Consider the following 24,898-nt stretch of genomic DNA (forward strand, 5'->3'; position numbering starts at 1 on the left):
CTGGGTGTGATAATTTCTTAAACATGTTGCTTCCTGGAGGCAAGGAAACTAAAATTGGACTGTGGCTTATATTTATTAATTTTAATCCTAAATATAATTAAGTTGCCAATAAGAAGGCATTTGATATAAATGCTCATTTATGTATACCATATGAGCTGTATCAGAAATATATTGGTGAATAAAAATTATGACTCCAGCCTTCAAAAATCTTGTAAGCTAGTTTCGTTTTTTTCTATAAAATAGACATCAAAAAATCCATAGTTATTCTGACTACATATTTACATTTTAATAGTCATTGTTGTGAACAACACCAACAAGGAAAGCTAAGAGAAGTGCACCCTTTTACAGTGTTTCAGAAAAAAGAAGTTTTGGATCCAGTACAACATAATGCATATATAGAGTGGGCATCAACTTCATTAGGGATGTGGTTGGCTGTAGAATGAGCACAAAATAGGAACAATGTCCAGAGCACACCTAGTACCTGGTAGGAGACAGGTACTGATCTGGTTGATTTCATGTAATTCTTTCCCACAGAATCGCTTTGCTTTAGTGTAATGTATTACTTGCATATTGGTGTGAAACAAATCACCCCAAAACAGTAGCTTGAAAAAACAAACATCTATTATCTCACAATTCCAGTGATTCAAGAATCAGGATATATCTAAACTGGGTATCTCTAGCTCAGGCTCTCTCACAGTGGCAATTAAAGTGTTGGCTGGGACTATAGTCATTTCGAGGCTCCTATGAGAGACAATCTGCTTTCAGGCTCACTCATATGGCTGCTGACCAGCCTCCAGTCCTTCTGGCTCTTGACTGAGACATCAGCTCCTTGCCGTGTGGGCCTTTGCGTAGTACAGCTTCCAATATGGCAAGTGGCTTTCCTCAGAGTGAGTGGGTAAAAGAGAAAGAGAGGGAGTACCACACATGGGAGACAGCTTCTCTTTGTTCCCTTATTTTGGAAGTGACATTACATCCTTTTACCATTTTCCATTCATTTGAAGGGCATTAAACCAACACACAAGGTATTACACAAGGGCCCAAAGGGACAAATACCAGTAGATAAAGAATCTTTGAGGATCACCTGAGAGACTGCCTACCATACTTTGTGGGGCAATCTGACATGGATAAATACACATGGACTCTTTAATGGTCCCTCAGACGTAAGTTGGGACCTGAGCCCTGAAACTTTCTACCTATCTGAACATGGACATGTCTCTCTATTCTCTGTTGTAAAGGTAAATAAATGAATGCTAGTACACTCTACTGTCCCTCAGTTCACATATATAGAATGGGCACAATAACTTGTAACTCTAAGGGCTGCAGTTAAGATTCAATAGTGCAATTGTGCTTAACAAGTAGGAGGCAGCAAATATTCCACTGTCCCTAATAAAAGTAACAAATTTGTTTGTAAATTTATGAAAAAGAACTGTCCATGGTGACCTGTCCTATGAACTTCCTAGGTTCAGCATTAGTGCCCTCTTGCAGAATAACCAACATATTTAACATATTTATGTCTTCACAACTCAGTAAAAGTGGTGGTTATTTTGGACTACCTTCTGTCAGAAGTAGAATATTATGACCCAACTGAAAGGAGATATTTATTCTAAGTTTTTTTTAAGTTTTTTTTTTCTCTCTCTCTTCTTGGTACTTGAGTTCAGCCAAGATACAGCAATTTCTCATTATTCCCAGTTAATAGTTAGAACTAGAAATGATCTACTTTGTACTTGGCACTGACAATTCAACTACAGTGTTTTGATAATTTCTAGGTGTTATGTTTTAGAAGGGGGCATGGACAATTGTGAACATGTTCAGAAAGAATAATCAGATTGATGAGTGGATTCTAAAACCTGCAACATGTCATCTGAAAAGATAAACTCCCAGAAAGAGAATGTTTAACTCAGAGGTAGAGTGGAGAGAGAAGGCTTCAAATCTTAGTTCTACCTCCCACTAGGTGACTGATAGGGTTTGGCTCTGTGTCCTCACCCAAATCTCACCTTGAATTGTAATAATCTCCATATGTAAAAGACAGGACCAGGTGGAGGTAATTGAATCATGGAGGTGGTTTCCTTCATGCTGTTCTTGTGATGGTGAGTGAGTTCTCACAAGATCTGCTAGTTTTATAAGTATCTGGCATTTCCCCTGCTTGCACTCATTTTCTCTCCTGCTGCCTTGTGAAGATGTGCCTTCCACTATGATTGTAAGTTTCCTGAGGCCTCCCCAGCCATGTGGAACTGTGAATTATTTATACCTCTTTCCTTTATAAATTACACAGTGTTGGGCAGTTCTTTGTAGCAGTGTGAGAATGGACTAAAAGAGTGACCTTAAAAAATGTTCATTTTATCTCTGGGATTTAGTTATGAATCTGTAAACTTACAATAATTATTGTATATTATAGATATTTGAACAAGTTACTTTGCATATGGTATCAATAATCCTAAGGATGGTTATTTTTATTTTTACACATTAGGTGGCAATAACTTTCAAACCCTGTGCTGAAGAGTTTCTCTTCAATATTTTTGTTGGCACCTAAACAAGCTGGCACAGAGTATCTTTTCTAAGTGAAGTTACTGCCTATGTTAGTGATCAAAGTTGTCAGGATCTCACTTTTATTTGGATCATAATGCATTTAAAGTTGAATTTGAAAATGAGTACCCAGAGTGGGCTTTTAAAGTCCCAAGGCAATGAAATATGATTTGTAGAATTCATCTTTTTTTTCTTCACAATCTGTGTTAGTGAACTTAAAGACCAGAGGAAAAATAAATATCACAGTAGAAATGCTGAAACAAAATCAGATATTGTTTTTTTCATAGCCAATATTAGAAAACTATGAGAAAGATTTTTTTTGGTAGAATCTTGAAAAGGCTACCTAATCTCTTTGAATAACAGAATTTTTTTCCTATGAAATAAATTGCAGTAGATAGTTCCTTTTGTGTCACATATCGAGAGCTCCATAAATAGACTCAAAATTGCTGCATGAGTTGGAAATGATAAATTTATAGGCTTCTTTAGATTTTACTTCCTGCATTCACATAATTTAGGTGAAATTAAATGTCACCTTTTTGACTTACTAAATGTAGTATTCACCTAGTATTCCTGAGGTTCTACAGGGTTTATTCCATCAGGACTTGAGTGGAAGACATTGTAAATATCAGTTTGCAAATACAGAACTTTGGCTATAAATATGATTACAAAGTCTATTATATATATTTTTAATTATACAACATTTGCTGTCTTAATGGATATTTTTAATATTCTTTACAAATAAACAGTGAGGTAGAGCTACATGAATGACAGAAAAATAAAGAGAAAAAATATTAGGGAAAATATGATAAACATAGAAGGCAGATAAGGGGATTCAGGCCCTTCATAATTGGAATCCCCCATTTAAAAAACTCTAAAATCCTAAAATTTAGAAAGAGAACCCATAATTATAATTATAATTATAATTAAAGACATACATTTTTAGAACTAAAACAATACTTGAGCTAAATATAACAAATCCACAATGAATGTAAAAAATAATCCAGAATGGTTAATATTAAGACATCATTGGACTTTAAGGGTAAAGAAAGAATGCTTCATGAAGCAGTAAAATAAATAATAACCTATAATAGGTAATGTGTCAGCCTGGCCCTGATTTCCTCTACAGCAACATTGGCTGCTATTCAATTGAATAACATTTAAGAAATTCAATACTGGAAGATGTCACTCAAGAATTTTATATCCAGCCAAACTATACTTCAACTTGTAAAAAAAACTAAACAATTTTTACATGCAAAAATTCCCTTGAGAATTTTTGAGAAAACTACCAGTGTCAAGTTTGGCTCACAAAGAGATGAAAGAAGGAACCACAAAAAATGACTGAGTACTGTATACATTTAAATGTTTAACTAAATCTAACATACGTAGCAAAAAATTTATATACTATCTATTTTGTACTAGGCACTGTTCTAAATTCTTGACATATATTAACTGTAGAGACTAGGGTTACAGATGAGAATGTAAATGAGACATGCCTTCATAATTTATACATTAGCCTCACAACTTAAAAGTAGAGCTTAGAAAAATTTCCTGTTTACTTCATGTAAACAGAAGGGACCAAATTATTTCATTTCAAACTAAAATAAATCAAGGAATAAAAGGATAAGTTCATGTAACCATAGAAAAGTAAATAATAAGAAAGAAAATATATCAACTAAATTTGAGTGACCAAAAAATCCAGGAATTATGGTAATGTTAAAGTGATTGTGATAAAGAATTATGGATAAAGTGTTTAAAATACAGGGCTGCAAATAAGATATACAATATTAAAAATAATCATTAGAATAAAAATATTAAAAAATTATCTTTTTTTTTTTTGAGACAGAGTTTCACTCTTATTGCCCAGGCTAGAGTGCAATGGCATGATTCCAGCTCACTGCAACGTCCGCCTCCTGGGTTCAAGTGATTCTCCTGACTCAGCCTCCTGAGTAGCTGGGATTACAGGCATGTGCCACCATGCCTGGCTAATTTTTGCATTTTTAGTAGAGACAGGGTTTCACCATGTTGGCCAGGCTGGTCTAGAACTCCTGATCTCAGGTGATTTGCCCACTTCAGTCTACCAAAGTGCTGGTATTACAGGTGTGAGCCACAATGCCTGGCCAAAAAGTTATCTTAATGATTACATATATAAACAGCAAACAAATGAAAAAGACTAAATACCAAAAGACTTAACAGCTTAAAAACAGAAAACACAACAAAACGTAAAATACAGTCAGAACTAAGACTGGATATACATATATATGCCATATTAATAAATAAAAATGACTTAAAAGAAAAAAGATTTATTAAAAGAAAAGTATTTTCATATTGGGTTGCAAATCAAAACCTAACTCAGTTCTGTGTATACAAGACACATCTAATACCTAAAAGAAGTATATAGAATGTATATATGTGTATATATAACATATACTAGGAAAATGAAAAACAAAAACAAAAGCAAGTATTTTATGGTATCTGAAAAGGCAACACAACTTGTTGCAGAACAACCCTTGATTTGAGAACAACTGCAAAAGTAGGAAACACACACAGATAATCTGTTTGGTCTGTTTTAAGACCCTGGAGAGCTAAGCATAGAGACCTGAGAGAGCATTGAAGATACTAGAGAGAAGGGTGACAAAGAGAGAAAAGCCAATATTCTGCACCACTTTTCTACTTGACTTTGGTCAGTTTAGAAGCAGCAGCTGAGAGGCTGAGAAACTGAACAAAGTTTCCAGCAGTCATTTCAGAATATGGAAACCAAAAGGGTCTGACATACAACTCAGGCTTTCAGATGAGACTTTTAATGGGCTGCACTCTAGGGGTAAGGGAGAACCCCAAATAGATCAGTCATCATAAAGAATGAAACTGGCCGGGTGCAGTGGCTCACACCTGTAATCCCAGCACTTTGGGAGGCCGAGCCAGGTGGATCACTTAAGGCCAAGAGTTCGAGACCAACCTGGGGAACGTGACAAAACTTTATCTCTACTAAAAATACAAAAATTAGCTGGGTGTGCTGGCACACACCTGTAATCCCTGCTACTCAGGAGGCCGAGGCATGAGAATCACTTGAACTTGGGAAGCGGGGATTGCAGTGGGCCAAAATTGTGCCACTGCACTCCAGCCTGGGCAACAGAGTGAGACTCAGTTTCAAAAAAAAAAAAAAAAAAGAAAGAAAGAAAAAAGAATGAAACCTAGTTAGAGACAGTTCAGTTCCAAGTTGGATTAAGGTGATGTTCCTTTAGCTTATCTGCCTAAAACAAAATAAATCCTCTCTTCAAGACAATAACATCTTGAGAACTTCAAATTACCTTCACAATTTTTTATTTTAAAAGTCTGTGATTCAGTCAAAAAATTACCAGGCATATACGGAGACAGAATACGTGACAAAAAAGCAAAGGGGAAAAATACCCAATAGAAACAGAATCACAGGAGATGCCAATAATATTGGAGCTATCAGATGAAAATAAGAATTTATTTTCCTTGGACTTCTGAGTAGAATTTAAAAGGTTACATAAAGCCTACACATACAAAGTTTATAGCTAAGAAAAAAAATTACAAAAATACTTTTGAAAAGGCATCATATAGGTTTAGAAGCTATGAGGACTGAATGGGCCTAAATTACAGAGAGGAGAAACATTCAGTGGTGAGTAGATAAATAGCAATTTTTTTTTACATGGAGGAATTTGCCAATTATTGATGTGAGCTGAAGTTTGTGGCTTGGCCCAGACAGAGAGCAGCAGCTGAAAGATGTAGAAACCAATGTAGACTTTAGCAGTCACTTGGGAATAGAAAGATAGATTGAGGGCTTGAGGGCCGTAGATACACAGCCATTTTCCATAAAAGACATTTGCTATATTCTATGACTGTGTAAGAAGCTGAAATCTAAACTAAAAGCTTTTGAAATTGAAAGTGAAACCTATTAAAGTCTCAGTAATTAGGAAACAAAGACCTGAAAACAGAAAAGGCAAGAAACAAAAGCCTAGAGAGTATGGTATATTGGCACAGAGGATCTATAGCCTCTTTTCACTAACCAACTCTGATTGTAGGTAAAAGTTGAGAAACCAGGGGCAGACCAACACTGCTGGGATAAAATCATTGGATAAGTTTGAGCAGTAGGGTATTTATACATTTCCAAAGTATCTCCCCACATATTGTTTAGTAGTTACAAGGGGAAAATTATTGTACAATGAAAATATCTGACAGACTCCATCTTAACAAAATGATTAAAGTTATCATCAGCAGAGCAAATAAATATTGTGTGCCTTTTGAAATAATATGCTAAGAAGGACACAGCACATATATTGTATAGTATAGTACATATATTGTATAGTATATATCTATATATATATGGGGAGAGAGATAATAGTATTCTTGCAAGAATAGTCATAAACTAAATCTTATCATGAAGAAATTAGCAGACAATCCAAATTGAGGGACTTTCTACAAAACACATCTGGCACTTACCCTTTAAAAAAAAAGTCATTTCAGGAAAGACCAAGAAAGGCTAAGAAATTTATAGCTTAGAAGAGATTAAAGACATATAACAAGGAGGAGCCAAGATGGCCGAATAGGAACAGCCCTGGTCTACAGCTCCCAGCGTGAGCGACACAGAAGATGGGTGATTTCTGCATTTCCATCTGAGGTACTGGGTTCATCTCACTAGGGAGTGCCAGACAGTGGGTGCAGGTCAGTGGGTGCATGCACCGTGTGCAAGCCAAAGCAGGGCGAGGCATTGCCTCACTCGGGAAGTGCAAGGGGTCAGGGAGTTCCCTTTCCTAGTCAAAGAAGGGGGTGACTGACAGACAGCACCTGGAAAATCGGGTCACTCCCACCCGAATACTGCGCTTTTCCGACCGGCTTAAAAAATGGCGCAACAGGAGATTATATCCCGCACCTGGCTTGGAGGGTCCTACACCCACGGACTCTCACTGATTGCTAGCACAGCAGTCTGAGATCAAACTGCAAGGCAGCAGCGAGGCTGGGGGAGGGGCGCCCGCTATTGCCCAGGCTTGCTTAGGTAAACAAAGCAGCCGGGAATCTCGAACTGGGTGCAGCCCACCACAGCTCAAGGAGGTCTGCCTGCCTCTGTAGGCTCCACCTCTGGGGGCAGGGCACAGACAAACAAAAAGACAGCAGTAACCTCTGCAGACTTAAATTTCCCTGTCTGACAGCTTTGAAGAGAGCAGTGGTTCTCCCAGCACGCAGCTGGAGATCTGAGAACGGGCAGACTGCCTCCTCAAGTGGGTCCCTGACCCCTGATCCCCGAGCAGCCTAACTGGGAGGCACCCCCCAGCAGGGGCAGACTGACACCTCACACGGCCGGGTACTCCAACAGACCTGCAGCTGAGGGTCCTGTCTGTTAGCAGGAAAACTAACAAACAGAAAGGACATCCACACCAAAAACCCATCTGTACATCACCATCATCAAAGACCAAAAGTAGATAAAGCCACAAAGATGGGGAAAAAACAGAGCAGAAAAACTGGAAACTCTAAAAAGAAGAGCGCCTCTCCTCCTCCAAAGGAACGCAGTTCCTCACCAGCAACGGAACAAAGCTGGACAGAGAATGACTTTGACGAGCTGAGAGAAGAAGGCTTCAGACGATCAAATTACTCCGAGCTAAGGGAGGACATTCAAACCAAAGGCAAAGCAGTTGAAAACTTCGAAAAAAATTTAGAAGAATGTATAACTAGAATAACCAATACAGAGAAGTGCTTAAAGGAGCTGATGGAGCTGAAAACCAAGGCTCAAGAACTACGTGAAGAATGCAGAAGCCTCAGGAGCTGATGCAATCAACTGGAAGAAAGGGTATCAGCAAAGGAAGATGAAATGAATGAAATGAAACGAGAAGGGAAGTTTAGAGAAAAAAGAATAAAAAGAAATGAGCAAAGCCTCCAAGAAATATGGGACTATGTGAAAAGACCAAATCTACGTCTGATTGGTGTACCTGAAAGTGACGGGGAGAATGGACCCAAGTTGGAAAACTATCTGCAGGATATTATCCAGGAGAACTTCCCCAATCTAGCAAGGCAGGCCAACATTCAGATTCAGGAAATACAGAGAACGCCACAAAGATACTCCTCGAGAAGAGCAACTCCAAGACACATGATTGTCAGATTCACCAAAGTTGAAATGAAGGAAAATATGTTAAGGGCAGCCAGAGAGAAAGGTCGGGTTACCCTCAAAGGGAAGCCCATCAGACTAACAGCGGATCTCTCAGCAGAAACTCTACAAGCCAGAAGAGAGTGGGGGCCAATATTCAACATGCTTAAAGAAAAGAATTTTCAACCCAGAATTTCATATCCAGCCAAATTAAGCCTCATAAGTGAAGGAGAAATAAAATACTTTACAGACAAGCAAATGCTGAGAGATTTTGTCACCACCAGGCCTGCCCTAAAAGAGCTCCTGAAGGAAGTGCTAAACATGGAAAGGAACAACCAGTACCAGCCACTGCAAAACCATGCCAAATTGTAAAGACCATCGAGACTATGAAGAAACTGCATCAACTAACGAGCAAAATAACCAGCTAACATCATAATGACAGGATCAAAGTCACACATAACAATATTAACTTTAAATGTAAATGGACTAAATGCTCCTATTAAAAGACACAGACTGGCAAATTGGATAAAGAGTCAAGATCCATCAGTGTGCTGTATTCAGGAAACCCATCTCACGTGCAGAGACACACATAGGCTCAAAATAAAAGGATGGAGGAAGATCTACCAAGCAAATGGAAAACAAAAAAAGGCAGGGGTTGCAATCCTAGTCTCTGATAAAACAGACTTTAAACCAACAAAGATCAAAAGAGACAAAGAAGGCCATTACATAATGGTAAAGGGATCAATTCAACAAGAAGAGCTAACCATCCTAAATGTATATGCACCCAATACAGGAGCACCCAGATTCATAAAGCAAGTCCTGAGTGACCTACAAAGAGACTTAGGCTCCCACACATTAATAATGGGAGACTTTAACACCCCAATGTCAAAATTAGACAGATCAACAAGACAGAAAGTCAACAAGGATACCCAGGATTTGTACTCAGCTCTGCACCAAGTGGACCTAATAGACATCTACAGAACTCTCCACCCCAAATCAACAGAATATATATTTTTTTCAGCACCACACCACACCTATTCCAAAATTGACCACATACTTGGAAGTAAAGCTCTCCTCAGCAAATGGAAAAGAACAGAAATGATAACAAACTGTCTCTCAGACCACAGTGCAATCAAACTAGAACTCAGGATTAAGAATCTCACTCAAAACCGCTCAACTACATGGAAACTGAACAACCTGCTCCTGAATGACTACTGGGTACATAATGAAATGAAGACAGAGATAAAGATGTTCCTTGAAACCAATGAGAACAAAGACACAACATACCAGAATCTGTGGGATGCATTCAAAGCAGTGTGTAGAGGGAAATTTATAGCACTAAATGCCCACAAGAGAAAGCGGGAAAGATCCAAAATTGACACCCTAACATCACAATTAAAAGAACTAGAAAAGTAAGAGCAAACACATTCAAAAGCTAGCAGAAGGCAAGAAATAACTAAAATCAGAGCAGAACTGAAGGAAATAGAGACACAAAGAAACCTTCAAAAAATTAATGAATCCAGGAGCTGGTTTTTTGAAAGGATCAACAAAATTGATAGACCACTACCAACACTAATAAAGAAGGAAAGAGAGAAGAATCAAATAGACGCAATAAAAAATGATAAAGGGGATATCACCACCGATCCCACAGAAATACAAACTACCATCAGAGAATACTATAAACACCTCTACGCAAATTAGAAAATCTAGAAGAAATGGATAAATTCCTCGACACATACACTCTCCCAAGACTAAACCAGGAAGAAGTTGAATCTCTGAATGGACCAATAACAGGATCTGAAATTGTGGCAATAATCAATAGCTTACCAATCAAAAAGAGTCCAGGACCAGAAGGATTCACAGCCGAATTCTACCAGAGGTACAAGGAGAATAATTCCTTCTGAAATTATTCCAATCAATAGAAAAAGAGGGAATCCTCCCTAACTCATTTTATGAGGCCAGCATCATCCTGATACCAAAGCCGGGCAGAGACACAACCAAAAAGAGAATTTTAGACCAATATCCTTGATGAACATTGATGCAAAAATCCTCAATAAAATACTGGCAAACCAAATCCAGCAGCACGTCAAAAAGCTTATCCACCATGATCAAGTGGGCTTCATCCCTGGGATGCAAGGCTGGTTCAATATACACAAATCAATAAATGTAATCCAGCATATAAACAGAACCAAAGACAAAAACCACATGATTATCTCAATAGATGCAGAAAAGGCCTTTGACAAAATTTATCAACTCTTCATGTTAAAAACTCTCAATAAATTAGGTATTGATGGGACGTATTTCAAAATAATAAGAGCTATCTATGACAAACCCACAGCCAATATCATACTGAATGGGCAAAAACTGGAAGCATTCCCTTTGAAAACTGGCACAAGACAGGGATGCCCTCTCTCGCCACTCCTATTCAACATAGTGTTGGAAGTTCTGGCCAGGGCAATTAGGCAGGAGAAGGAAATAAAGGGTATTCAATTAGGAAAAGAGGAAGTCAAATTGTCCCTGTTTTCAGATGACATGATTGTATATCTAGAAAACCCCATTGTCTCAGCCCAAAATCTCCTTAAGCTGATAAGCAACTTCAGCAAAGTCTCAGGATACAAAATCAATGTGCAAAAATCACACACATTCTTATACACCAACAACAGACAAACAGACAGCCAAATCATGAGTGAACTCCCATTCACAATTGCTTCAAAGAGAATAAAATACCTAGGAATCCAACTTACAAGGGATGTGAAGGACCTCTTCAAGGAGAACTACAAACCACTGCTCAATGAAATAAAAGAGTATACAAACAAACGGAAGAACATTCCATGCTCATGGGTAGGAAGAATCAATATCATGAAAATGTCCATACTGCCCAAGGTAATTTATAGATTCAATACCATCCCCATCAAGCTACCAATGACTTTCTTCACAGAATTGGAAAAAACTAATTTAAAGTTCACATGGAACCAAAAAAGAGCCCACATTGCCAAGTCAATCCTAAGCCAAAAGAACAAAGCTGGAGGCATCACACTACCTGACTTCAAACTATACTACAAGGCTACAGTAACCAAAAACAGCATGGTACTGGTACCAAAACAGAGATATAGATCAGTGGAACAGAACAGAGCCCTCAGAAATAACGCCACATATCTACAACTATCTGATCTTTGACAAACCTGAGAAAAACAAGCAATGGGGAAAGGATTCCCTATTTAATAAATGGTGCTGGGAAAGCTGGCTAGCCATACGTAGAAAGCTGAAACTGGATCCCTTCCTTACACCTTATACAAAAATCAATTCAAGATGGATTAAAGACTTAAATGTTAGACCTAAAACCATAAAAACCCTAGAAGAAAACCTAGCCATTACCATTCAGGACATAGGCATGAGTAAGAACTTCATGTCTAAAACACCAAAAGCAATGGCAACAAAAGCCAAATTGACAAATGAGATCTAATTAAACTAAAGAGCTTCTGCACAGCAAAAGAAACTACCATCAGAGTGAACAGGCAACCTACAAAATGGGAGAAAATTTTCGCAACCTACTCATCTGACAAAGGGCTAATATCCAGAATCTACAAAGAACTCAAACAAATTTACAAGAAAAAAACAAACAACCCCATCAAAAAGTGGGCGAAGGACATGAACAGACACTTCTCAAAAGAAGACATTTATGCAGCCAAAATACACATGAAAAAATGCTCACCATCACTGGCCATCAGAGAAATTCAAATCAAAACCACAATGAGATATCATCTCACACCAGTTAGAATGGCAATCATTAAAAAGTCAAGAAACAACAGGTGCTGGAGAGGATGTGAAGAAATAGGAACTTTTACACTGTTGGTGGTACTGTAAACTAGTTCAACCATTGTGGAAGTCAGTGTGGCGATTCCTCAGGGATCTAGAACTAGAAATACCATTTGACCCAGCCATCCCATTACTGGGTATATACCGAAAGGACTATAAATCATGCTGCTATAAAGACACGTGCACACATATGTTTATTGCGGCATTATTCACAATAGCAAAGACTTGGAACCAACCCAAATGTCCAACAATGATAGACTGGATTAAGAAAATGTGGCACATATACACCATGGAATACTATGCAGCCATAAAAAATGATGATTTCATGTCCTTTGTAGGGACGTGGATGAAATTGGAAATCATCATTCTCAGCAAACTATTGCAAGAACATAAAACCAAACACCACATATTCTCACTCATAGGTCGGAATTGAACAATGAGAACACATGGACACAGGAAGGGGAATATCACACTCTGGGGACTGCTTTGGGGTTTGGGGGGGGGAGGGATAGCATTGGGAGATATACCTAATGCTAGATGACGAGTTAGTGGGTGCAGTGCACCAGCATGGCACATGTATACATATGTAACTACCCTGCACATTGTGCACATGTACCCTAAAACTTAAAGTATAATAATAACAATAAAATTATTAGAGATAATAAATTAAAAAAAGACGTATAACAAGTAAATACATGCATGATTCTGCATCATCAGAAAAAAACAGAAAATCATCAATCAGAAAAAAATATGCTGCAAGGACAACACTAAAACAAAGGAAGAAATAATCTTGTGTTAATGTTTAAATTTTTGAAATTAATAGTTGTGCCATGCTTTAGGTAATCAGATGTCCTTTTTCTTAGAAAATGTACACTGAAGTATTTGAGGGTTAAAAGTCGTGATGTCAAAGACTCTAAAATGCTTTAGTTGACATGAAATGTATGTGTGTGTTTTTGTTATGTGTGTGCAGGAAAGAAAGTGTGGTCACTTTAGGTGTGTATACATGGGAGTTTATTGTATCATTGCCAGATTCTCCTGCCAGTTTAAATATTTTTCAATAAAAGTTAAAAAAAAAACTGTGAGAAAACATTGGAGAGCCATGTTATAAGAACAGAAGCAAACAAGAGGTAGCTTGAGTTTTGCCATTTAAGTGAGATTGTACTTATTTTGGTAACCAAGGTCATCACTGACAGGAAAATAGTGATTTCTCTATAAGATCTGCTTTTTTTTTTTTTCCGCGACAGAGTCTCACTCTGTTGCCCAGGCTGGAGTACAGTGGTGCGATCTTGGCTCACTGCAACCTCCACTTCCTGGGTTCAGGCATTTCTCCTGTCTCAGCCTCCCTAGTAGCTGGGATTACAGGTGCCTGTCACCACACCTGCTAATTTTTGTATTTTTGGTAGAGATGGGGTTTCACCATACTGGCCTGGCTGGTCTTAAACTCCTTACCTCAAGTGATCTACCCGCCTCATCCTCCCAAATTGCTAGGATTACAGGTGTGAGCCACCACACCTGGCCTAAGACCTGCTGTTATGTAAGAAATCTTAAAAGATATTCAGGCAGTAGAAATATGGTACTCAACAAAAACTTACAACTACACAAAGAAATAAGGAGTGCTGGAAATTAAATAAATGAAAGTAAAAATAAAACTATTTAGGTTATCTTTCTTATTTTTAATTGCTCTAAGACTTAATTGACTCTCTAAAATAGAGGTTAGCGAGCCTTTCCATAAAGGATCAGATAGCAAATACTTTGTTTTGTAAGCCAAATGAACTTTGCTGAAATTACTAAATTTCAACATTGTAGTGCTAAAGCAGCCATAGATAATGCATAACAAATAAGTGTGGCTATGTTTTAATAAAGATCATCATGGTGTGTAATTTCATCATACTGATCTCTTTTTGGCTTCACTAAGATGACATACTCTCTTACTTCTTCATGTGTTTGCTCCTGTATTTTTTTCAAGACTTAATTCAGGAATTATCTCTTTCAAGACTCTTTCCCAAACCTTTTATTCCTCACAGGCAAGATGGAATTCCATTTTTATGATCCAGTAGGAACTTATGCCTCCTGGTTTTATCTCTGACTTGATTTGTGAACTTTGGAAGTTATTTAATATCCCTAAGTTTCAGTTTTCTGACCTATAAGATAATAATAGTACCTACATTACACGGCTGTTGTGATAATGCATCTGAATTACTTAACACAGAACTTGACCCACAGAAAACATTCAAAACATGTAAATGATATCTAATAATATTGTGATGATGATTATTATTCCTCTTTCATACTACTTTCTGATGCACAATATTGGTCAACATAAAATATGCTTGGTTCTTGGTTAGATATTATGTAAAGTTATAACAATGTGATTAGGAATATTTGGATTTGTATTTTAATAGCAGTAAAATGTACTAAATCAGAAGAACATGTCTTGGTCAGTAATATATATGAATATGCAGGTAAGATAAGAGAGAATAAATATTATGATACCTGTAATTTTTTGAACACCAAAGCAAAGTAAGCCAAGAACACAGCTGTAAGGGGATCAAGTAGACCGGAGGCAAAATTAGCTGTTGAGCTATAATCCCTGACCGTGCTGGACACAGGGCTCTGTTCACACAGAGAGGGAAAGCAATTAGCAGTGGAACAGCATATGGTTTGGCTAATAGCACCTCAAGAAAAAAACTAGATTAAAATATAGAAGGGATATTGAGTAGAGGAGATGGCAGGTGGGTGGTGAATAAAAATGAACAACAAAATGCATGCTTGGGAATATCGTGGGTGTGCATGTGCCTGTTTTTCCTTTCATTGGTATGTTTAGGATTTGCATAAATAAAATGAATATGGGGGTACATGTTGCCTCATCTTTTAGTTGCTCTGCTTTGAAAGAAAAGTAAATTCCTGGATCAAAAGATGGCAGTTAGGGAAACTTAAATAAGTTGGTTTGGATAAAATTAAAGGAGGCAGCCCTCTGATCGTTTCTTTCCCCAAAGAGGATTTAAGTCTGCCCCTAGGACACAGGACACAGAGTCATTATTTTAAATATTATATTGAATTATATAATGTCTTAATTTTTAATCAAATAATTCATGCACATAATTATTAATAGTATCAGAGGATTCTTTTGAAATCAGTGTCCTCTGCATTGCTCTTCTCTAAATTGCTTAGAAGGAGTATTAATACTTTTAGTTGTATCTTCCGGCATTAGCCATAATTTCTTCACTTTTCAAAACCTAAGTAACATGGCTGTATTTCTTTCCCTTGATTTATTAATTATAAATATATAGTAAATTTATTATTTTGAAAAAGAAGGTAAACTCGTTCATGCCAACTCTTATCTTCAAATACATAGTATATCTTATATTGTATGTACTTTATCATAATTATTAGTTGATGATGTAGTTTCATTACAGTGAATATATAAATATTGTTTGCTAAATAAGAAAGCAGTGTAATATGTTGCATTTCCTGTTTTTTGAAACCTCATTGTTTTCTCTAGAGTTAATTATTGTCTTAGTTTTTTCACTTATATAATTTCTTCTATTTACAAATGTTAACAAATATTCTATCAGATCTTTCATTATCTTGTAGTACCAAATGTTGCTGTGGAAAAATATGATGTTATTCTGATTGCTCCTTCCTATGAAGTGTTTTTCTCTCTAGAAGTTAGTGAATCCTCTCTCTATCACTGGTATTATGATATTGCATAATAATGTGCATTGGTGTGGTAACTTTCGGTATTTCCTGTGCCAGTAGAAACTAGAAATTATTTGCTGATTTGTTTAAGTTACCTATAGATTCTGGTTATTAAGCCTTTGTTGGATGCATAGTTTGCAAATGTCTTCTCTTGTTCTGCAGGTTGTCTGTTTACTCTGTCGATAGTGTCTTTTTTTTCTGTGCAGAAGCTTCTTAGTTTAGTTAGGTCCCACATGTCTATTTGTGTTTTTGTTACAACTGCTTTTGGGGACTTAGCCAAAAATTCTTTGCCAAGGCCAATATCAAGAAGGGTATTTCCTAATTTGTCTTCTAGAATTTTACAGTTTGAGGTGTTACATTTAAATCTTTTATCCATTTTGAGTTAATGTTTGGCTGTTTCCGTGCCGAGCGCAGCCATGGCTCCTGGTCCCAAGAAGCATCTGAAATGGGTGGCAGCTCCAAAGTACTAGATGCTGGATACATTGACCAGTGTGTTTGCTCTTCATCAATCCACCAGTCCTCACAAGCTTAGAGAGTGTCTCCCCCTCATCATTTTCCTAAGGAACAGACTTAAGTATGCCCTGAGAAGAAATGAAAAAGATTTGCATGCAGCAGTTCATTAAGATAGATGGCAAGGTCCAAACTGATATAACCTACCCTGCTAGATTTATGGATGTCATCAGCATTGACAAGGGACACAATTTCTGTCTGATCTATGACACCAAGGGTTGCTTTGGTGTACATTGTATTACACCTGAGGAGGTCAAGTACAAGTTATGCAAAGTGAGAAAAATCTTAGTGGGCACAAAAGGAATCCCTCATCTGGTGACTCATGATGCTTGTACCATCTGCTACCCTGATCCCCTCATCAAGGTTAATGAAACCGTTCAGATTGACTCGGAGACTGGCAAGATACTGATTTCATCAAGCTTGATGCTGGTAACCAGCATATGGTGACTGGAGGTGCTAACTTGGGAATAATTTGTGTGATCACCAACAGAGAGAGGCACCCTGGATATTTTGCCATGGTTCACGTGAAAGACGCCAACGGCAACAGCATTGCCACCTGGCTTTCCAACATTTTTTGTTATTGGCAAGGGCAACAAACCATGGCACAAACCATGGCAACAAGCCAAGGGCAACAAACCTTCCCCGAGGAAAGGGTGTCCACCTCACCTTTGCTAAAGACGGAGACAAGAGACTGGTGGCTAAACAGAACAGTGTGTAAAATGGTCTCTGGGTGACATGTTACATCTTTGTACATAATTTAAAATAATTCAGCATGATTAAAAAAATACTTGTGTACGGTGAAAAGTAGGGGTCCAGCTTCAGTCTTCAGCATATGACTAGCCAGTTATCCCAGCACCATTTATTGGATAGGGCATACTTTCCCCATTGCTCGTTTTTGTCAGCCTTGTTGAAGATCAGATGGTTGTAAAATAACCCCATTTAAAAATGAGAGAAAGGGACAAACAGCTATTCTCAAAAAAAGACATATAAGCAGCCAACAAATATGAAAAAATGCTCATCACCACCAATCATTAGAGAAATGCAAATCAAAACTACAATGAGATATCATCTCACATCAGTCAGAATGGCTATTACTAAAAAGTCAAAAAACAACAGATGCTGGTGAGCTGTGGAAGAAAGAGAATGCTTATACACTATTGGCGGGAATGTGAATTGGTCCAGCCACCATAGAAAGCAGTCTGGAGATTACTCAAAGACCTTAACACAGAACTACCATTAGACCCAGAAATCCCATTACTGGGTATATACCCAAGGGAAAATAAATCATTCTGCCCCAAAGACACAAGCATTTGTATGTTCATTGCCAGGCTATTCACAATAGCAAAGACATGGAATCAACACAGGTGCCCATCAATGGTAGATTAATTTAAAAAAAAAATGTGGTACGTATACACCATGGAATACTACGCAGCCATTAAAAGAATAAAGTCATGTCCTTTGCAGCAACATAGATGCGGTTGCAAGACATAATCCTAAGTGAATTAATGCAGGAACAGAAATATCACATGTTCTCACTTGTATTTAGGAGCTAAACATTAAGCACACATTGACATAAATATGGGATCAATAGACACTGTGGACTACTAGAAGGGGGAGGGAGGGAAGAGGGCGTGGGATGAAAAACTACCTATTGGGTACTATGCTTACTACCTGGGTGATGGGATCTTTACGCCAAACCTCAGCATTATGCAATATCCCCATGTAACAAACCTGCATATATACCCCCTGTATCTAAAATAAAAGCTGAAATTTAAAATAAAATATTAAAAAATGAAACTAGAAATCAGGCATTTGAAATTAAATTATGACTCTCTTCACAAATTGGATCTTCATCCTATATATTTAATGATTTTTTTACTTATATTTTCTCTTTTTTTCTTTCTAGAGTAACTAATAATCTGATGGTTGACATCTGAATTGATTTTTCTGAATATTTTATCATTTTTATTCTATTCCAATTACATTGTTTTGTTTCCTGAAATATTTACTTGGTTTTATTTTTTAACATTTCTGCTAAAATTTCAAATTATAATTGTCTATCATATTTGCAATTTCATCATTTTCCTCTTTCTTAGATGTTTATAGATGTATTATATTACCTTGTTACTCCCTAAGGCTGATTTATATACTTTTTTGTTTGTTAAAGTTCTTTTTTCTGCATTAGTTCTGGTTCTACTAGGTTTTAATTTTCAGTTTGTCTCTCTCTTTCACGTTATAGATCTTTTTTCTTTCTTTGTTTTTCTTTCATTCTTTCTCTCTCTCTCTCCCTTCCTTTCCCTTCCCTTCCCCTCCCTTCCCCTCCCTTCCCCTCTTCTACTACTCCCCTCCCCTCCCCTCCCCTCCCTTCCCCTCCCTTCCCCTCCCTTCCCCTCCCTTCCCCTCCCTTTCTACTACTGCAACTGGTGCTTTCTTGAAAGTGCCACATCCTGGCTAGAGGCTGACCAACTCAGACCATTAGAGCAACTCAAGACAGAATAACACTGCTCCCAGGAAGAAGAAAACAATAGCTAATTCCACTGCCTGCAACATCCTGGCTAACTGAAGGTCCTGAGTCTATCCATGTGATAACTTCACTGCTAGCATAACCAGCATTCAAGAAAGACAGCACACTAAACATATCTACAACCAAGGACTCTCAAAGAGTCTACTTCACTCCCCTGCCACCTCCACCAGAGTAGGTGCTGGTATCCATGGCTGGAAGACCTGAAGACGAATCACATCACAGGACTCTTTGCAGATACTCCTCAGCACCAGAGCCTGGTAGCCCCACTGGGTGGCTAGGCCCAGAAGAGCAATAGCAATCACTGCAGTCTCTCTCTCAGCCTCTTCCCTAGGGGAAGGTGAAGAGCACCACATCAAGGGATCAACCCATGGGACAAAAGAATCTGGACAGCAGGCCTTGAGTTCCAGATCTTTCCAATGAAATAGCCTACCCAAATGAGAAGAAACTAGAAAAGTAATTCTGTTAACATGACAACATGGGGTTCTATAACACACCAAAAAAAAAAAAAATCATAGTAGCTTTCCAGCAATGGAGCCAAACCAAGAAGAAATATCTGAATTGCCAGAAAAAGAATTTAGAAACTTGACTATTAAGCTACTCAAGGAGATACCAGAGAAATGTGAAAAACAACTTAAAGAAATTAAAACAATACAGTATTTGGATGAAAAATTCTCCAGAGAAATAGATATCATAAAGAAAAAACAGTCACAACTTCTGGAAATGAAAGACACACTTAGAGAAATACAAAATGCAGTGGAAAGTTTCAACAATAGACTAGAACAAGTAGAAGAAAGAACTTCAGAGCTCAAAGACACGGCTTTGGAATTAATCTAGTCAGACAAAGACAATGAAAAAAGAATTTTTTAAAAATGAGCAAAACCTCTAAGAAATTTGGGATTGTGTTAAATGGCCAAACATAAGAATGATTGGTGTTCCTGAGAAAGAAGAGAAATCTAAAAGTTTTGAAAACTTATTTGAGGAAATAATTGAGGAAAACTTCCCTGGCCTTGCCAGAGATCTAGACATCCAAATATAAGAAGCTTTTAGAACATCTGGGAAATTCATCACAAAAAGATCATCACCTAGGCACATAGTCATCAGGTTATCTAAAGTCAAGACGAATGAAAGAATCTTAAAAGCTATGAGACAAAAGCATCAGGTAACCTATATAGTTATCTAAAGTCAAGACCAAAGAAAGAATCTTAAGAACTATGAGACAAAAGTGTCAGGTAACCCATATGTTAATCTAACTTATTAGATTAAAGGACATTTTTCAGCAGAAATCTCACAGATCAGAAGGGATTAGGGTCCTATCTTTAGCTGCCTTAAACAAAATAATTGTCAGGCAAGAAATTTGAATCCAGCAATCCTAAGGTTCATAAATGAAGGAGAGATAAATTATTTTTCAGACAAATGCTGACAGAATTTACCACTTCCAAGCCAGCACTACAAGAAATGCTATAGGAGTTCTAAATCTTGAAACAAAACCTCGAAGTACACCAAAATAAAACCTTCTTAAAGCATAAATCTCACAGGGAAAGCAATAACTGACAATGGGGGGAAAAAACAAGGTATTCAAGCAACAACTAGCATGATGCATATAACAGTGCTTCACATCTTAATACTAATGAACGTAAATGGCCTAAATGTTCCACTTAAAAGATACAGAATGGCAGGATCGATAAAAATCCACCAACCAAGTATCTGCTGTATTCAAGAGACTCACCTAATACATAAGGACTCACATCAACTTAAGGTAAAGGAGTGGGAAAAGATATTCCATGCAAATGGAAACCAAAAGTGAGCAGGAGTAGCTCTTCTTATATCAGACAAAACAGACTTTAAAGAAACAACAGAAAAAAAAAGACAAAGAGCGATTTTATATAATGATAAAAGGATTGGTCCAACAGGAAAATATCACAATCCTAAATATATATATGCATCTGACACTGGAGCTCCCAAATTTATAAAAAACTATTACTACATGCTGATGAGATAGCAACAAAATAATAGTAGGGAACTTCAATATACCCTGGAACAGATGGACTTAACAGATATTTACAGAACATTCTACCCAACAACTGCAGAATATATATTCTTCTCATCAGCACATGGAACATTCTCCAAGATAGACCATATAATAGGCCACAAAACAAGTCTCAATAAATTTCAAAAAAATTGAAATTGTATCCTGTATCCTCTCAGACCACAGTGGAATAAAACTGAAAATCAACTCCAAAAGGAACCCTCAAAACTATAAAAATACACAAAATTAAATAATATTTTCTTGAATGATCTTTGAGTCAATGATGAAATCCAGATTGAAATTAAAAAATTATTTGAACTGAATGATAATAGTGACACAACCTAACAAAACCTCTGGGATACAGTGAAAGCAGTGCTAAGAGGAAAGTTCACAATATTAAATGCCTACATCAAAAAATATGAAAGAGCACAAATAGACAATCTAAGGTCACACCTCAAGGAACTAGAGAAACAAGACCAAACCTAAACCCAGCAGAAGAAAAGAAATTACAAAGATCAGAGCAGAACTAAATGAAAGTAAAACAACAACAACAAAAAATACAAAGGGTAAATGAAACAAAAGCTGGGTCTTTGAAAATATAAACAAAATTGATAGACCATTAGTAAGATTAATTTAAAAAAGAAGAGGAACAATCCAAATAAGCTCAATTAGAAATGAAATGGGAGATATTGCAACCAATACCACAGAAATACAAAAGATAATTCAAGGCTACTATGAACATCTTTATATGCACAAAAGAAAATCTAGAGGTGATAGATAAATTCCTGGAAATATACAACCCTCATAGATTAAATTAGGAAGAAATAGAAACTGTGAACATACCTATTACAAGTAGCCAGGTTAAAACAGTAACTAAAAAATTGCCGGCTGGGCGTGGTGGCTCATGCCCGTAATTCTAGCACTTTGGGAGGCCAAGGTGGGTGGATCATGAGGTCAAGAGTTTGAGACCAGCCTGGCCAACATGGTGTAACCTGTCTCTACTAAAAATACAAAAATTAGCTGGGCATGGTGGTGGGCACCCATAGTCCCAGGTACTAGGGAGGCTGAAGCAAGAGAATCACTTGAACCCAGGAGGCAGAGGTTGCAGTGAGCCGAGATCACACTATTGCACTCCAGCCTGGGTGACAAGAGCAAAACTCTGTCTCAAAAAAAAAAAAAAAAATGCCAATAACAAAAAAAGTCCAGGACCTGATGGATTCACAGCTGAATTCTATTAGATATTCAAAGAATAATTGATACCAATCAATTATTACTGAAATTATTCCAAAAGATAGAGAAAAAGAAAATCCTCCCTAAATCATTCTATGAAGCTAATATCACTGCAATACCAAAACCAAGAAAGGACCTAACAAAATAAGAAAACTGCAATTCAATATCCCTGATGAACATAGATGTAAAAATCCTCAACAAAATACTAGCTAGCCAAATCCAACAGCATATTGAAAAAATTATGCACCATGATTAAGTGGGTTTCATACTAGGGATACAGGGGTTGTTTAACATACACAAGTCAATAAATGTGATACATCACATACTCAGAATTAAAAACAAAAATCATAAAATCATCTCAACAGACACACAAAAAAAGCATTTGACAAAATCCAGCATCCCATTATGATTAAAACCCTCAGCAAAGTTGACATAGAAGGGACATATCTCAAAGTAATAAGAGCCATCTATGACAAACCCACAGCCAACGTTATACTGAACATGGAAAAGTTGAAAACATTCCCCCTTAGAACTGGAAAAAGACAAGGATGTCCACTTTCACGACTGCTATTCAACATACTACTGGAAGTCCTAGCCAGAGCAATCAGACAAAGGAAAACAATAAAGGGCATCCAAATTGGTAAAGAGGAAGTCGAACTGTTGCTATTCATTGATTATATGATTGTATGCCTAGAAAACCCTAAAGAATCATTGAAAAAGCTCCTAGATCTGATGAATGAGTTCAGTAAAGTTTCAGGATACAAAATCAATGTACACAAATTAGCAGCACTGTTATACACCAACAATGACGAAGCTGAGAATCAAATCAAGAACTCAATCTCTTTTACAACAGTACAAAAAATAAAATACTTAGGAACATACCTAACCAAGAAGTTGAAAGAGCTGGATAAGGAAAACTACAAAACACTGCTGAAAGAAATCATGGATGATATGCTAAGTAACCAAAAAAATGTGGTGCACAAAAAGAAAACCTAAATGGTCAATAAACACTAAAAAAAATCTGCCTTGCTAGAAATCAAGCAAATGAACATTAAAACCATAATGAATGATTAGTTTACTCACATGAGACTGCAGTTCTGAAAATGCCAAGTGATGGTGAAAATGTGGAGAAAATAAGAACTCGTATCCTTACTGGTGGAAGGTCAAAGTGATGTAACATCTTTGAAAAGCAATTTGGTGATACTTGCATATGTATTCTCTAAAACTCAGACATTCTAATCTTAGATATACACCTTGAGAGACTTTAACATAGATTACAAACAGATATGTTCAAGAATGTTAATTGCAGCATAGTTTGTAATAATGAAAATAAAAATAACCTAAAACCATCAAAAAGAAAATAATTATGTTGCAATCATTGAACAGAATCTTATAATAACGAAAATGAATTAACATAGTGACTGAATTTATCATCAAAGTATTAAGATAAAAACCTAGCTATTGAAGAATTCAGATGGTGTAATACCATTTATAATAAAGGTTATGAATAGAAGAAGTGGCATGCCTGATAGCCTGAGGAGCTCAGCAGTGCATTCCCCAGAGAATCTGGTGAAAATTATGAAAAAGTAAAATCAACACTTTATAACTTCTTAAAATGGTCCTACAAATGAAGAAACATCTATGCAAGAAATCTCAAAAGTGATGTAAGAAAAGTAGAAATCTGTTGTACTTGAAGATTGTTCCTTCCCTTCCGTACCCACGCTCAGAGAAATAGAAACTGCACTGTAGACAGGTGGAGACAAGAATACAGGTCTCTCTCCTTCCAGTTCCCAATTAGAGGACTTTCCTTCTTGGAGGGAAAGACATCGGTATATTTCATCTTGCCCGCAACTATCTGCTATTGAGGCTAAATTTCAGGTCAGTGAAGCCAAGATGTGCAGTGTAGTGCAGTAGAGTACATAATACTTGATAATGATACTAAATGACTATGTCATTTGTTTATATATTTCCTATAATATACTTCTTATCATTATCTTAGAGTGCACCCTTTCTACTTAACATACATCAAAGGCAAAGAGAAAACCTTGAAAGCAGCAAGCAAAAATGGCTTACTACTTATTAATAAAAGCAAATTCTAATAAGATTAACAGTTTGACTTTTCATCACAAAAAAATGGAGGATAGAGGACAATGGGATAATATATTGAAAATGTACAAAGAAGAAACTATCAATCAAGAATTCTATACTCAGCAAAGCTATCTTTCAAAAATTAAACTAAATCAAGACATTTCCAGATAAAGAAAAACTGAGACAATTTGTTCCTAGCCAACTTGTCTTACAAGACATACTAAAGAAAGTTCTTCAGGCTGAAAGTAAGTGACCCTACAGGATAATTGCAATCCACACAAAAAGAAAGAACACCAGTAAAAGTAATTATGTAATTATAGAAGACAGGATAAAGGCAAATGCACAATATCTTAACTGATTTAAAAGTGATTGTGTAAAATAATAT

General features: G+C 36.9%; 1 long non-coding RNA gene and 1 pseudogene across 1 annotated transcript in view, besides 2 other annotated features; both read left to right on the top strand.

Annotated features, from left to right (window-relative positions):
• The window catches only part of LOC105377992 (uncharacterized), a 61,454-nt gene that overhangs the window by 6,110 nt on the left and 30,446 nt on the right, over positions 1–24,898 (top strand). The window lies entirely within an intron of this gene.
• Positions 7,057–7,693: an enhancer, noted in NCBI's record as "H3K27ac-H3K4me1 hESC enhancer chr6:126994686-126995322 (GRCh37/hg19 assembly coordinates)". NCBI's record gives its function as "activates a minimal SCP1, AML or CMV promoter by ChIP-STARR-seq in primed H9 embryonic stem cells {active_cell/tissue: H9 hESC(primed)}" and the evidence as "EXISTENCE:reporter gene assay evidence [ECO:0000049][PMID:30033119]".
• Positions 7,694–8,330: an enhancer, noted in NCBI's record as "H3K27ac-H3K4me1 hESC enhancer chr6:126995323-126995959 (GRCh37/hg19 assembly coordinates)". NCBI's record gives its function as "activates a minimal SCP1, AML or CMV promoter by ChIP-STARR-seq in primed H9 embryonic stem cells {active_cell/tissue: H9 hESC(primed)}" and the evidence as "EXISTENCE:reporter gene assay evidence [ECO:0000049][PMID:30033119]".
• On the top strand, positions 16,529–17,425 carry RPS4XP9 (ribosomal protein S4X pseudogene 9; annotated as a pseudogene).

This window comes from Homo sapiens, chromosome 6 (genome assembly GCF_000001405.40).
Source record: "Homo sapiens chromosome 6, GRCh38.p14 Primary Assembly".
Lineage (NCBI taxonomy): Eukaryota > Metazoa > Chordata > Mammalia > Primates > Hominidae > Homo > Homo sapiens.